Source organism: Homo sapiens, chromosome 6 (assembly GCF_000001405.40).
Source record: "Homo sapiens chromosome 6, GRCh38.p14 Primary Assembly".
NCBI lineage: Eukaryota > Metazoa > Chordata > Mammalia > Primates > Hominidae > Homo > Homo sapiens.
Window position 1 is genome coordinate 8,374,028 of NC_000006.12, and position 15,978 is coordinate 8,390,005.

The 15,978-nt window shown below is 38.6% G+C and overlaps 3 annotated features.

Moving 5' to 3' along the window:
* Positions 5,990–6,159: an enhancer, noted in NCBI's record as "experimental_96039 CRE fragment used in MPRA reporter constructs". NCBI's record gives its function as "activates a minimal promoter by MPRAs in K562 erythroleukemia cells, with activity observed for the introgressed 6:8380335 variant allele {active_cell/tissue: K562}" and the evidence as "EXISTENCE:reporter gene assay evidence [ECO:0000049][PMID:34662402]".
* Positions 9,333–10,207: an enhancer, noted in NCBI's record as "OCT4-NANOG hESC enhancer chr6:8383593-8384467 (GRCh37/hg19 assembly coordinates)". NCBI's record gives its function as "activates a minimal SCP1, AML or CMV promoter by ChIP-STARR-seq in naive H9 embryonic stem cells {active_cell/tissue: H9 hESC(naive)}" and the evidence as "EXISTENCE:reporter gene assay evidence [ECO:0000049][PMID:30033119]".
* Positions 13,589–14,788: an enhancer, noted in NCBI's record as "CDK7 strongly-dependent group 2 enhancer chr6:8387849-8389048 (GRCh37/hg19 assembly coordinates)". NCBI's record gives its function as "activates an origin of replication core promoter dependent on BRD2, BRD4, P300/CBP, MED14 and CDK7 cofactors, with strong dependence on CDK7, by STARR-seq in HCT116 cells {active_cell/tissue: HCT116}" and the evidence as "EXISTENCE:reporter gene assay evidence [ECO:0000049][PMID:35650434]".

Consider the following 15,978-nt stretch of genomic DNA (forward strand, 5'->3'; position numbering starts at 1 on the left):
AGGTTACAAATCTTGTGACTTCTGGCTACGTGGCTCCTGAACCATAATTCTAACCTTGTAGCTAATTTCTTAGTTTTACAAAGGCAGTTTTGGTCGTTCAGCAAGGAGGGGGTTAGTTTTGGGAAGAAGCTGTTACTATCTTTATTTCAAGGTTAAACTAAATTCCTCCCACAGTTAGCTTGGCATATGCCCAGGAATGAACAAGGAGTACTTGGAGGTTAGAAGAAAGATGGAGTCAGTTAGGTCAGATTCCTTTCACTGTCCTAACTTTTCTATGTCAGATTTCTCTCACTGTCATAATTTTTGCAAAGGCAGTTTCACCATTTGTGTAGATTCCCCACTTTTCCTTCCTCTCATATATAAGCAGGTGCCAAGGCCTGTCATATCTATCCTTTCATACTGAGGGTAGAAGATGAGCCCTGGAGGGAGCTGGGGTCCAGATACCCTGCCTAATGCCCTAGCCTGGCTGGATCATTCCTAATTCTCTGCCCTCCCTAGGATCTCTACCAGTGAACTGACTTGTTTCTTCTCCGTAACCTGAATTGACCAGCTTATGCCTGTCTTCCTGGAGTCAGTGGCACCATCAATGACACCCCCTTTCACTCTTAAAAGCATGTGGGTTTGGATGATAAGGTATACTATTTACCTTTACCCTCTTTCACTCCTATCTGCCAAAATCTTCTCATTCATGAGCTACCTGCATATAAAGCCTCTTCTGATCCTTTTGACTGGCTATGATCTATCCCTTTCCAAAATCCCATCGACTTTCTTCTTTCCTCTCTTAGGCTCCCAGTTAGAGTTATTTATAGACCTCTTTTATTTCTTCTTATGTTTTTAAGCACAGAGACTGTGCTATATTAGATGCCACCAAAGTGCCAAGAACAATGCCTTGCTCAGAAGTAAATAATAACTATGGGTTGAATAATAAATAACTGACCAACTAAAAGTTCAAAGGGAAGATGTATCATCAGTGTAAGGATTTTGAGACCCATGAGTTTGAGCAGAAAGTCAGCATTCTCTGCCATCTCCTTTCTTCATCAAAATTTTACACAATGATCAATTTTTCTCCCAAATTGTTAAGTGGAGGCATTATGTAAGAGTTTACAAACTACAAAGAACAAAAGTATTTATTTAGCTAGTTGATTCACAACAGTGTTTTCTAAGATGTGTTCCTTGGAACACTAGTTGAGCATGATATTAGTGGAGTATTTATTAAAACAAGATTATCTGGCCAGTTGACTTAGAGCTCAACAGAGTTTTTAGTGTATATGTGTTTTAATAGTGGGACTCTCAGAACTTTTAATAAACAAATGTGCATGGCAAATCTCTAAAGAGGGGCTATGATATCTATCATTTTCCAAATTTAATTGATCATGGATGCCTCTTCTGAATCTTCCCACTCCCTTTTTCTGTGGAGCCTATCTTACGACAACTAGGGAAATAGTAATTTAGAAAGTAGATTTACAGTTAGTTATAAGAGTATTTTCAATATATTTGTTTTCCAAGGTAGTTCTGACCATGAGTTGGTAATGGATCTTAAAATCTTCTTAAGCCATTTTCTTCAATGTTGGTTTCTTTTTGTTTGTTTGTTTCAATGGTTTATTTTTTGAGACAGGTCTTGCTCTGTCACCCAGGTGGGCATGCAGTGGCACAAACATGGCTCACTGTATCCTTGACCTTCTGGGCTCAAGTTATCCTTACACCTTAGCCTCCCAACTAGCTGTGACAACAGGCACACACCACCATGCCTGGATAATTTATTTTAAATTTTTTGTAGGGACACAGTCACACCATGTTGCCCAGGCTGGTCTTGAACTCCCGGGCTCAACTGATACTCCAGCCTCAGCCTCTTAAAGTGCTGGGATTACAGGTGTGAGCCACTGTGCCTGGCCCAGTTTCTTAGTTGAAGCTTCTTGATAAGCATGAGCGGATGGTACTTCATTCATGCCTTTGACACATAAAGCCTGGAAGACTGAACTCAGCCTGAACTCCAGGGCCCCAAGCTGGATGATTCAGCCTCCATCCTCTGCTTTTTATTACCACTGTTGCCCAGAGCTTCATAACCTCATGCTGAATTATTTTGCTTTCAACCTCTCTTCCTCCTCTCGCCCATCCTACATATGCTCCCACAGCCAGCCTCCCCAAACCACACCTTGGTCAATAAACCTCACTGGTCTTCCTCCTATAGAGTCATTGCCAGCTTATTTACCTGGACGTCTGGGTGCTGCAGAACCGCATGGAGTACTGATATATTTAATTCCATTAAGCACATTAAGAATAATATCTGTAGGAGGAGAATTTTCTATTGCATGTAATATACAAATCACAGACATGAGCACATCTCTCTTAAGAACATATTGTCAAACTAAGCACAGCTGGCTGCTTCCAAATTTTTTTTTTCCTGGAAATTTCCTGCCTCTTGAATTTTCATTTTAGTTAATGTGTTAAATTTTTAAAGAAAATGTTATGGCTGAAAACTTTTAATTGAGACAACTCCATCAACTTAATTTATTTGTTTTTCTATAAATTGGGAAAGTATCACTACTGTTTGATTTTCACAAGATGATACAAGCTAACTCACGATTTGTGACAATACCACAGAGCCAAGTCCAAACTAGTAGGCTGTTCCTATCATATTCTTTTAAAACACACCCTTCCACTACTCTGCCCTACCTGGGCCTTGCTACTCAATACCTTGCTACTCAGTACCTTGCTACTCAGGGTGTGGTCACAGACGAGTAGCATCAATATCGCATAAACAGCTGACTCAAAATGCTGATTCTCAGGCCCTGCTCCAAACCTAAGGAACAAGAATCTGCATTTGAATAAGATCCCCGGATGATGTGTTTGCACACTAAGTCTTAAGGGCACTGGCGAGAGGCAAGCAACTCAAATCTCAGTTTTCCAATTTGTAAAGAAGAATCTCTTTCTCATAGAACTGTTGTATGGATTAAGTAAAACAATGTCCTCTGGTAACTGTGAAGCATTTTGTTGATTGGAGCTATATCATGCTGGTTCACTCACTGTCCCTGCAAACCCATGCACCTTTACCCATCTGAACCTTCCGGCTGCCTGGAACATTTCCTTCCTTTCCCTCTAAGTATTTGAATTACACCTGTCTGTCTTGGGCTGAATTGTGTCCCCACAAGAGATTCATATGTTAAAGTACCAACCTGCAGTACCAGAGTGTGAGTGTATTTGGAGACAGGATCACTAAAGAGATAATTAAGGTTAAATGAGGTCATTATGGTGAGCCCTAATCCACTACGACTGTGTCCCTATAAGAAGAGGAGATGAGAACACAGACCCAGAGGGATGACCACGTGAGGACACAGAGAGAAGATGCCATCTCCAAGCAAAGGAGAGAGACCTCAGGAAACACCAACCCTGCCCATACCTGGCTCTCAGACTTCTGAACTCCAAAACTGTGAAGTGATACATTTCCTGCAGTTAACCCCCTCTCCCCCTGACCCTGTCTGGGGTACAGTAGTCCCCCTTATCTGCCATTTCACTTTCCTTGGTGGTCAACCATGGTCCAGAAATATTAAATGGAAACTTCCAGATATAAATAATATCTGAGTCTTAAATTGCACACTGTTCTGTGTAGCATGTCACAATCTGCCACCGTTCCTCTCCTGCCTGGGATGTCAATTTCCCTTTGTCCTCGGTCTCCATGCCATTGATGCTACCCTCTTGTTAGTCACTTGGGAGCCATCTAGGTGATTAGATAAAAAAACAGCACATATAAGATTCGATATTATCATTGGTTTTGACATCCACTGGGGGTCTTGGAATGCATCTCCCTGGCATAGAGGGGTACTGCTGACTTTTATTAGGGCAGCCCTAGCAAACTGCCACATTCTATTCCCTTGTTCCAGCTCAAATGCTCCATTCTCCACCCTCCTGGATCCCCCTGCCCAGTGCTGCATGACTGCAGTGGGTGGGTTTTTACTGAAATTGACACACATACATTGCCATACATCTTCAAATATGTATTATTATTCTGGAGGCTGGGAAAATTCTATTCAATGCCTACCCTATCTGCCTGTGAATATCAGTGAATCAATATATACTTGTTGATTGATTGGTTTAAAGAAGAGTACAACTCAGGACTTCATATTCCCAGTCAAGGCTGCCAGCTAGTGTATGAAGATACTTCTGCCTCTAGATAAGCAAAGCAGATTTTGCATTCAGCCTGCATTGAACATATATTGGCACTGGTCTCATGATATATTACAGATGTTCTGCATATAAGTTTAATTTGCAGTATCCCAAACTGTGGGAATAAATGAATTGTAATACCTTGCCTTTGAATTTGCTTTGAAAATTTTTAACTCCTTATCTTATTTGACCTCCCAGCTCTACTCCAATGTGAAATAAGAAAATATGTTATTGTTCCTACATGAAAGAGAAAACCTGAGGTTCAGAAAGGTCAAGAGGCTGACATGGTGACTATAGTTAGTAACAATGGATTGCTCTCTTAGAAATTGCTAAGAGAGTAGATTTAAATGTTCTGACCACAGAAAATGCTAAGTATGTGAAGTAATGCATTTGTGAATTAGCTCGACTTAGCCATTCCACAATGTATACATACATATTTCAAAATGTCATGTTGTATATGACAAATATATGCAATTTTAATTTGTCAATTAAAAAACCAGAAAGGTCAAGAGGCTTAGCCAAGGACACTAGCTAGCTAGTAGAGTCTTACATGGCAAATAGGAGGCTCCTGGAGCTCGGATAGTAAACCAGACCTGCGATGATGTCGTCAATGAGTGGTCTTCATAGAAGAGAGAAGAAAAGGCCCTTCTCCACCCCTGTAAAAAAAGGAAAACCCAGAGCTTGCATATGAACAAGCCAGAAACCTTATTTTTCAGTTCTCTATACAGCAAATTCTTAGATTTAAAACCCAAAATTGAAAGCAATCTCCATAGAATTTCTCTGGGGAGAAATGACCTACTTCAGCTTATATTCCTCCCTGTAGTTGCTCTGAGCCTTGGGAATTACCTTGTCCATGTATTTTCATTCAGAATGAATGCTTTAATATATTTCTTTAATCATCTGTTGCATCAGAGAATATTGTTTCATGCATATTAAAGACTTGAGCATGTAATAGAACAGTGTTCTGACTAATAAATGCGCTCAAAGCATGTCACTAGTCTTATTGCTTTTCTTAGCTTCAGGATAGATGTGTTTTATTTGGAAAATAATGATGATGATGATGATAGTGCTTCTGCTAAACAAAGGGAATTATTTTATTTTAAAATGGTGTCATGACCCTGTACAGGTCATTATTCTTTTGAAGGAGTCAACCTTTTGCCTTATTTCCAAAGTGTTTTATTCCCCATTCAGGCAAATTAATCAGTGAGTATTAGGAACTTTCTACATGCCTGGCATAAGACTGTGCAGAAGTACAAAGATGCGCTTTCTATCTAGAAAATCTTCCAGTCTGATTTGGCTATAAACGACCTTCAGAAAATACATAAAGGTACAACTCACTTGCTCTAGGAAAAGAGAGAAGGGAAAGGGGTTTATAGAGAGATAAAGATTGAATGAGATTTTTATTAAAAAGAAAGATTGGGATGCTTTGACAAAAGGATTTCAGGCAAGAAGGAAAAATATAAATGAAGGCACATTATTGGTATGAGTTCCATAAACATGCACCGTTCCACTCATCTTCATCACTTAGATAAAAGACACAGTCCCTGTTCTAGAGTTAAAGGTCACACATACAGTGCAACAAATACCATACTAGAGCTAAACATGGCGTGCTAATTGATCTCAGAGGAAGGCTGTATGACACAGTGGAGGAAAAATAAGAGGACAACAAAAAGCGTATGCACCTAAGAGGAATCTTAAAACAAGAAGAGATTAGCCAGAGCAAGTAGGAGGGAAGGCCATTCTGTGCAGAGGGAATCATTTGGTGAGGGTGTGGAGGAAAGAGAAGAGACACACTTCTCCAGTGCCTCGGTTTGGCTGGAGGGAGGTTTGTGTGCCAGGGGACAGTGAGTGATGAGGTTGGAGACACAGGCAGGGGTGAGGCTGGGGAGAAGTTGGCAAATCATACTAAGGAATTCTGATTTTACTCTGAAAGCAACATGGAACGAATATCACACTCAAAGAACAGCAAGAAGGAAGAGGGTCCGGTAGGAGCACAAGCTTCCGTGGAGGAAAATAAAAGGGGTGGAGGGTGAGGGGAGGTAAGAGAAGGCTTTACTTGTCTTTCATGAGAAGTTTGGATTTGACCGGAGAGGTAATGAGACGTCAGTGTAGGTTTGTGTTCTTGTTCTGGTTTTGTGTGTGTGTGTGAGAGAGAGACTCATGTTGGCATGAGTCTCACATACATGATGATATGCAGTCAAAATAATCACACCAGATTGTATGAATGGGGGCAAAGTCATACTCTCTGATTTAGCAAACATCAGTAAATGACGACAGGCAGAAAATTAAGGTTATGCCCTTAATGAGCTCAGTGAATGACAATCTTTCTCAAATAATGGGTTTTGTCCCAATTTATGATGTGTTTAAATTCCTTATATAAAATAACTTGTACTAAAGTAAATCTGAACATTGTAACTGGTATTTTAAAAAGTTTTTTAAGTCTCTACTTACAGATTAAAAAATCTTAGAGAGTTGCTTTAAACTGGCACTATAACTGCGAAAAGTCCATGAACATTGTCTTCCTTTCTGGATTTCAATCAATCAAGAATATTTGGATGGTTTTTAACAATAAGGTAATAGAAAATGGAAATGTACAAGAGAGACTAGGAATGGAATATTTCATTGTGACCCTACAGCATGATTCTGAAAATAAATTCAGACCATCTTGCCATTCAGTTTACCAGCCTGCCTTAAAGCTTTTCTATACAAATGCCTTGGGGATGGATAATGTAACTAGTGGCAAATTTCTTTATTACTTCAGGATTTACTGGTGAAAATGAAATATACTGTTTTAGAGATTTTATACATTACAGGAATAAGCACATAAATTTTGTCAATATGGATCTTCTTACAACATAGGAGTGGGGTCTGAATATGATGAATATGATGAAAGATGAGACATTAGAATCTAACAGGCTTATGAAACAGAAAACTTATTTTCAGGGTATCTTAATGATTAAGGTAAAATGAAAAATAATCTAAACTGCCTAAAAAGTGTATATAATGTAAAATTTATAGAACTTTTTAAAAACATAGTACTTAAGAATTTAGAAAAAGCATGGCTGGGCGCGGTGGCTCACACCTGTAATCCCAGCACTTTGGGAGGCTGAGGCAGGTGGATAGCTTGAGGCCAGGAGTTCGAAACCAATCTGGCCAACATCGTGTAACCCTGTCTCCACTAAAAATACAAAAACCGGCGTGGTGATGCATGCCTGTAATCTCAGCTACTCAGGAGGCTGAGGCATGAGAATCACTGGAACTCAGGAAGTAGTGGAGGTTGCAGTGAGCCGAGATCACACCACTGCACTCCAGCCTTGGTGACAGAGCAAGACTCGGTCACAGAAGAAAAGAATTTAGAAAAAGCAGTTGAGATGTCACAATATTTGATGAAATCTCCAAAGAAATGGTTGGAAAAAATAATACAAAAGGTGGAGGCATAGGAAAGTGTTAGTAAATGGTATTTCTGAAATAAATACAAGAGGTAAACATAAACATGTTCAATTTGTTCTAGGTTGTTAGAAAAATCTGGCAATAAGTGTTATGGTGGAAGGAAGCACATGCAAATATAGATATTACACTCTAATAATGTTTAAAAATGCTGATACTGGAGAACAATGATAAACTTTAAAAGATACATAATATCAGTTCTGGAGATACGTTTGTTATCTCTCTCATTAGAGGCGCCTTGCATGTGAGTTTAGAAAACATTTTTACAATACACTGCACAGTCCTGCTCATTGTATCAGTCTGCTGGGGTTGCCATAATGGAATACTGTGGTGGCTAAAGCCTGAGTGGCTAAACCAAAAGACATTTATTTTTTCACAGTTCTGGAGGATGGAAGTCCAAGATCAAGGTGCCAGGGTTTGTTTCTGGGAGCGCTCTCTTCCTGGGATACCTTCTTGTTGGATCTTCACATGGGCTTTCCTCTGTGTGCATGTGGGGAGGGAGAAAGCTCTCTGATGTCTCTTTCTCTTCTTACAAGGACACCAATCCTATCAAATTAAGTCCACGTCCTTATGACCTCATTTAACCTTTATCACCTTCTCCCAGACCCCACCTATCTCTAGGTAGTAGGAGTTAAGGCTTCAGCATATAAATTTTGCCGGTGAGGTATGGGGGGAACCATTCAGTTCATTCACTCATCAATGTCAACTCTTTTATTAAAAGTCTAAGACATTTTCTTCTGCTGCTGTATTTAAGCCTAAATATTTTTAGTCACATAAATCCTTACACCAGGTATCACTTGTAAACCCCAGGTGCATTTATAAAACTATCAGCAACACAGAAATAGTCTTTGGAGATAAAGTAGCATTCTAATAAAGCAGTGGATATGAAATCTAAGCTGGGTCTCCCAGACAGAGAAGTGTAGTAAAGGAGAGAGATACAGCTAGACAGATGTGGGAATCAGAAGCAAGGCGAGAGCTGAGGAAACCCTGTTCAGACTTGTTTCTTCAGGAAGAACAACAGACTTGGCATTGAAAAGCTCACTTTTGTTATTTTTTCTGTCTAGAGCTTTTAAGTGGGAAAATGTGTTTCACAGAAGGCAGCTCAGCTGAGAATCAGAAATCCCAGGCCAGTCCTGCCAATAACTCAGAGTGAGACCTAGACAGTTTGCATAATCTCCAGAGCCCTCAATTTCCTCTTCTATAAAGTGAGGTATAGATCACTATAAGACTGCATTTTAACAGTCTGATTTCTATGACTCTAGGACTTACTTCTGAAGAATGTATACACTGGTTCCAATGTTTCTAGAACACTTCTGTATAGCACATGAAAACCTTCCCCTCCGCAATGCCGGTAGCTCTGTAATGCCAACGCTTATGCACAAATTTATTAAACTCTCAAGTACAATCTGGAAACCACTACAATCTGAGAAGTAGTGAAGAAGAAAAACGTAGTATAAAATCCAAGTAAGTGGCCTTATTTCCATGGTGCCATTATGTAGTTAGCTTGTTTATTTAGAAGTAGTTTAGTTTTAATTACCCCAATACTGTTTCTGTAATGCTCATGTTAAAAAGGATAGACTAAATTCAAGCTTTATGCGTTCAGGATAGAATGTTTCCTTTACCAGCATTAGAGTTTTATTTAGCAAATGCTGTTTTTAGTTTATTAGACAATTCAAAATATGTCCACTTACATGGGACATGCCATATTGTTGTCACAGACAGACTTCATATCACTATATGGCTATCATTCATACTTTAGAGGAGAGATTCCAAATATGGCATCCATTTATGGCAGGTGTTAATCAAATTGCATGCCTTAGTGAATCTTTCTCAGAGAATCCTTTTCTTTCTCTGAAGATCATTTACCATAGCCCTCATCAGTCAATATTATCAATGGGTGGTTCCTTAATACGAGTAAGACCAATTCTCCTATTCTGAGCTTCTTGGTGAGTTGGACATCTGTGTGACTTCTGGGGTCATGTAGACTTAAAAGCTGGAGTCTCATTTTGGGACATTCTTGATTGAAAGGGAGCAGAGAAAGCTGCTCTGCAGGAAAGAAAACAAGAGGGAAGCAAGAAGCACTCATAGGAACAGAAGGAACACAGGATCTTCCTGGAATCCTGATTGCTGTCTTTGTCTTTCTTCTGGTCCCCTGGGAGGCCAATCTGCAATCACTGCTCTTAGATTCTTCTAAGAGCTACTGCAATGCCCTGGTAATAAATTCGCCTCCCACCTCGCTCACCCCCCACCAGCACCCACCAAAACTACTTGAAGGTGACTTTGTAGCACTTGTACTCAACAATCCCTTTATCACCATTCTTCATCTTGGCAGACCACCCTAGAATTTAACCAAATTTTTATTACATTTTTTTTTCCAGCCAGTGTCTTTTTATTTGTCCCTCCCCAAAGCAATACTATATAGTATGCTCATTATTATGATAATCTGGCCAAGTGTGGCCATAGACTGAATTTTAGTGAGCTTCTAACCCCAGTTAGTAATGTGGCACAATTTCCAACAAATATGTGCCACTGGCTAAAAAGGAGGGGCTGAGTTTTAGAACACATATATCACTACAAATCTATCACCAGAAATCCAACTGGAAATGCCTAATGAATATAGGTTGTAGTGTCAGTACAAGAAATGAATTATGTTACTTGCCATATCTGCCTTATTTATTAAATAATTGATTCCCACAAATGCTTAACAGCGATTCCCAAACCTCAACAAAGACAGAACTACTGAAGGAAGCTTTTTAAATATAAATTCCTAGGCCTATCCCAGGAACTATGAAATAAGAACCTGTGGGAGGTGGGGTCTGGGAATCTATTTATTTGTACATTTATGATTCTCCAGGCCATTTTGAAGATCAATCATGTTGAAAGACCACTGTTCTAGTATATATAATGTCCAGGAGGAAACTTGTAACTGAAATTCAAACTCCAATCAATATAGAAAAATCAATTGTATTTCTACATACCAGCAATGAACAATCGGAAATTAAAATTTCAAAAAGTACAATCTATAATAGCCTTCAAAACATGAAATCTAACAACATGTGCAAGATATATATGCTGGAATATTGTTGAATCTGTATATTCAACAATATATTGATGAAAGAAATCAAAGACCTAAATAAATGAATATTTATACAATATTCAGGGATTGGCAAATTTAATATAAAGATGTCAATTCTCATTAATCTATAATCTTATATAGAGAGATCTATAATTTCAACTCCATCCCAAGCAAAATCTCAGAAGCAATTTTTAAAAAGAAATTGACAAGCTGATTCTAAATTGTACAAGACAAAGGAACTAGAGTAGCCTAAACAATCTTGAAAAAGCAGAAAAGGGAAGGACTCACATTACCTGATTTTAAGACTTATTATAAAGCTACAATAACCAGACAGTGCAGTGATGGCAAAATGACAGACACAGAGATGAATGAAACAGAGTAGAGAGTTCAGAAGTAGACCCATGCATGAAGAGTCAGTTGATTTTTACAAAAATGCAGGGACAATTTAGTGAGAAAGGAATGTTTTTGAAACAAATGATGCTGGAACAATTGAATATCCATATGCAAAATAATGAACTTTGACCCATACTTCACATTATATGGAAACATTAACTCAAAAAGTATAATAGACCTAAATGTAAAAGTTAAATAATTTCTAAATTATTTGATGATTAGATTTGTCTTCTAAAAAACAATTCTAGAAGAAAACATAGAAGAAAAATGTCATGGTCTTGGGTAAAAATATTTCTTGGAGATGATAAAAATCATGATCTACAAAAGAAAAACATGATAAACTAGACTACATCAAAATTAAAATTAAAAGCTTCTGCTTTTTGAAGAACATGCTTATGAAAAATGAAAAGCCATACACTGGGAGAAAATATTTGGAAAACATTTGTAAAAATATTTGCAAAATATGTATCTGATTAAAAAAAACTTGCATGCAGAATATATCAAGAATGCCTAAAAATCAATAATGAGGAAATAACTCAGTTAACAAAGAGGTAAGGATTTGAACAAAGACTTTACCAAAAAAGATATACAGATGGACAATAAACACATGAAAAATACTCAACATCATATTTATTAGGGAAATGCATATGAAAACAACGAGATGATGCCATTGTATACCTATCAGAATGGCTAAGATATAAAAACTTTCTAATATCAAGTGTTGGTAAGGGTGCTGAGCAACTGGAACCCTCACATGGTTGAAGGGAATGCCACTCAGGAAAACAGTTTGGAAGCTTCTGATAAAGTGAAACACACGACATGAAAATCCCACTCCTAGGTATTTAAGGGAAATGAAACATGTTCACATAAAAACCTATTTATAAATGTTTATAGCAACTTTATTTGTAATCACCAAAATTGGAAACACCCCAAATGTTCATCAACAGGCAAAATGATAAACTGCAATACATTCATACAATGAAATACTACTCAGCAATGAAAAGGGACATGCCACTGATACATGATGTGATATGGATGAATTTCAAATGCCTTATGCTAAATGAAAGAAGCCAGGCTCAAAAGGCCAGACACACTCTTTGATTCTATTTTATAAGACATTCTGGAAAATGCAAAACTACAGAAGCAGAAACCATATCATTGGTTTCCAGGAGCTGATTGGATAGAAAGGTTGATTACAAAGGGACAAGGATCTTACAGTACTCAGTCCTTTGTAGTGATGAGGCTATATGTTATACTGCTGTGTGTGTTTGTCAAAGTCCATAGAATTTTATGTGAAAAACAGTGATTTTACTAAATTATGCCTATATCTCAATAAACCTGTCTAAAAAGAAAAACACAATAAAAAGCAAAGTTCCAGTTTGGTGTGTCAAGGGATATGTACTTTGCTTTCAGGTTGATCCTTTCTAAGAATCAAATTCTTTTTCCCCCTTGCAAATGACTAAGGTAACAAACGGTCTGCCAGTGTCCCCTTATGTGGAAATCTGAGAGGACAGTATGCTGTGTGCCACTCCATTTGCTGTTGTGATGGGCTTTAGACATCTACTATTATTTATTACACAGGTTTAGGATATAATGTGGAGGTCACCTTCCAGCTGCAGTGAGATATTAACAGACTGGGATTGATGGTGGAGAGGAAGACCATTGTTACGTTTCTGCTATATATCAGAAAACCTGTTTATGTTTTGTTTGTATATGTTTCTGTAAACATTCTGTAAACATGTTGAAGTAAACATTCAACAATCCTATAGATAATGATTTTGGGGAAATTTCAATTAAAAAAATCTAGGATCTAACTAAAATGCTAAGTTGCACACCAATTATTATACTTAAAATGGGCATAGTTAAGGGTTTCTCAGCCATTTGCCCTCTGTATACATTTGCAACAGAATCTTCACAAAGAGGGAGGAACGTTTATGATCTCGGGGGCACCTGTGTGCTACCTCTAATCAGGTATTATGCTAAAAGAAAATACTAGCTAATCTCCGGAATGGCATCAAACTTTCCAATATTTGGAAGTATGTGATGAATACAAAAGAGTTGAGGAATACAAATTGAATTATTAAAAAGTTATATTCAACATATTTAATTTCCAGAATTTGCCATCTCCTAATAGGACCTCAGAGACGTTAAATGATTTGTCCCCAACTGGTAAGTGACAGGAATATTTTAAACTCAGGTCTTCTGACTCTAAGGCGAGTGCAGATTATATTGCTTTACTTTTTCTCTGAAAAGTTCACAAATGTATAAGCCATGATGGTGTGGTAAATCACACCAGGAGATGCCAGCAGTATTTCTTCTCTAGACTCTAGTGCTGAGAAGTTGAATACAACAATCTTTAAATTAATTCTTACTTGGCATTCTATTATCATTAGATTGATTTAACTCAGCCACATTTTTAATATTTCAAAGATAGAAGATATATGGCACCCGATTTCATCTTCTGATTTTTTTTAGAATACTCTATAAATGAAGAAGGAAAATACTTAGTAACGTTTTTCACCAGCACATAAAATTCCTTTCTCTTGCCTTCCATGGCACCAGCCTCCTAGCCCTCTCTTTCCACTTGTCTTTAAGCCCCTTTGCTTGCCCATTGGAGGCTGTTTCCCAGAGTTCTGTCCTGAGGTCTCCTTTCTTCCCAGTGTACATGACGCCTCCTCGGTGAGGAGAGCAAAGATCACCTGGTGACCATCAAGCAGGCCACCTGAAGACAAAACTCCTTATCTGAGGAATTTAGAAGTAATTATGAAGCGGCTTCCTTGTCTGGGGTAAATACCCGAGATTCGTTGTCTTATGGCCACGGAAAACTAGGATGTGGGCACACAAAGAGTGCAGTTAGAGCAGAAGTTTAATAGGCGAAAGAAAGAAAAGATCTCTGTGCAGAGAAAAGTCCCAGAGAAAACGGGTTGTGGCTTCCGCAGTGGAATACAGGTTTTACAGAGGAGCTTGAGGGGACAGTGTTTGATTTACATAGGGCACCAAAGATTGGTCAGACCAGGTGTCTCATATGCATAGCACATGAAGAAACTGGCTGCCCCCACCCTAATCTTTTATTATGCAGATGAGCTCTCTACCCGGCTGGCGCCATGTTGCCTGGTTCTTTACTGTACACGTGGTGACGAAGAAAGGGAAGATGGAGCCTCCATGTTGAACATGCCTGGCCCTCAGGTAGCCCTTTTCTATTGGCGCGGCTGCCGGCATTCACCAGTGCAAGTTTCCAGCTTGCTTATCTATGTCTGCAGCTCGATTTTTCAGGCTGCTCTTTGTTGTTAGAAAAGAAATAATTTTGAGGTGCTTTTTGTTAAAAGGGAAATTCCGCCAAGGACTCTGTTGTCCTTACTATCTGCCTAAATAATTTCTTTCTATCTCCTGTATCAATTAGACTTCCCTATTATCTAAAGCTGGCGTCTGGTACAAAGCTTCTTTTGTACCAGATAGAAGTTACTTATAAACTCTAGTTACTTATAAATTTATTTTATTTACTTATAAATTTATAAGTAACTAGAATTTCTGTACATCTCCAGAATACGTGCATGCTGAACGCATTGTGCCAACCTGGCTGGCATTAAGCACAAAAATGTCTACAAATGTAATCATTTATCTAATGATACTAATGGGCTAATATGGTCCAAATTACCTTCAGCTCCGGCTTTAAGGTCCATAAATACCCCTGAGGAAGGATCCACTGTGTTGCACTCAGTCCTCTCTTGCTGAGGTGCTCCGCTGCAGCTGCACTCTTCGACAGCGTTCTTTCTACCTAATAAACCTTTCCTTTTCCAGTCCTATACGGTCAGTGGTAAATTCTTCTTACCAACCCACCAGTCAACCACCTTTTGATGTTGGAGCTCTGACACCTTGCCTGGCTCTGGGTGATTGCTTTCACTCAATTCATCTGTAGACCGATGACTTCATCTCTGGTACAGACCATTCTGACCTGCAGAACCATAGATTCCATTTCTTCTTAGTGGACAGTTCTGTCTGAATGACCACAGAGAACTCAATCTCAACATGCCCCAATTGAATTTAGCTGCCTTCACTATGCTCTGCTCTCTGCCTTTCCCATCTGCCCACTCTCCCCTAAATTTCCAGTGTCATAAATTTAATGACATCATAACTGAGCTGGGAGTCATGCTCAAGTGCTTTCCCTCTTCACATCCGAGTATCCATCTAGGCTTATTGTTCTGCCTGCATTCTCTCTCTCAAAGTCTTCTCCTCTGGATATTCCTTCAATACAACTCTCATCAAGTTTAATCTGCATTATTCTAGTTCATCTCCTCACTAGTCCCCCCAGCTTTGTCCCTGTCTCATTCCTGAGGGATACTGCTGAATCATGTTACTTCCAGCCAAAGGCCTTACAATAGCTTCGTACTCCCAAAGAACCAAATGCAAACTCCAAGGCCCCCCTGCTTCCATCTGCAGCCGAACCCTAATTGAAATCTGTTTCAGCTGCACCAAACTACCTGCAGCTATCTAAACACCCTTTGCTGTTAATCATCTGCAATTATATGCCTAAGCTGCTCACTCCGCCCAACCTTTTAGTGCTGGCTTGTTAGATCTTTGCCTTTAATGTCCTTGTCATTATGGATTTGTGTATCTTTTAATATTTAAAATGATTTTCTTTTATTATTGCCTTTTACTCCCTGAATTTTTCACAATGAACAAGCAAATCATTTTTAAGGGGAACATCTAACATTTATTAAAATACCTAGGTGAACAGGGAATGGCTTTCTCCTTTTTCTACTTTATGATAAAATCCAGATGAATGTAGGAATCGTAAAACTTCAAAAAAGTTATTGTTGTTTTAGGTCTATTCATATGTGCAAGGTTTTCAATTTTACGAATAACTCATACCATTTTGGGGCAAGTTTTGGGGCTGAGGGTTT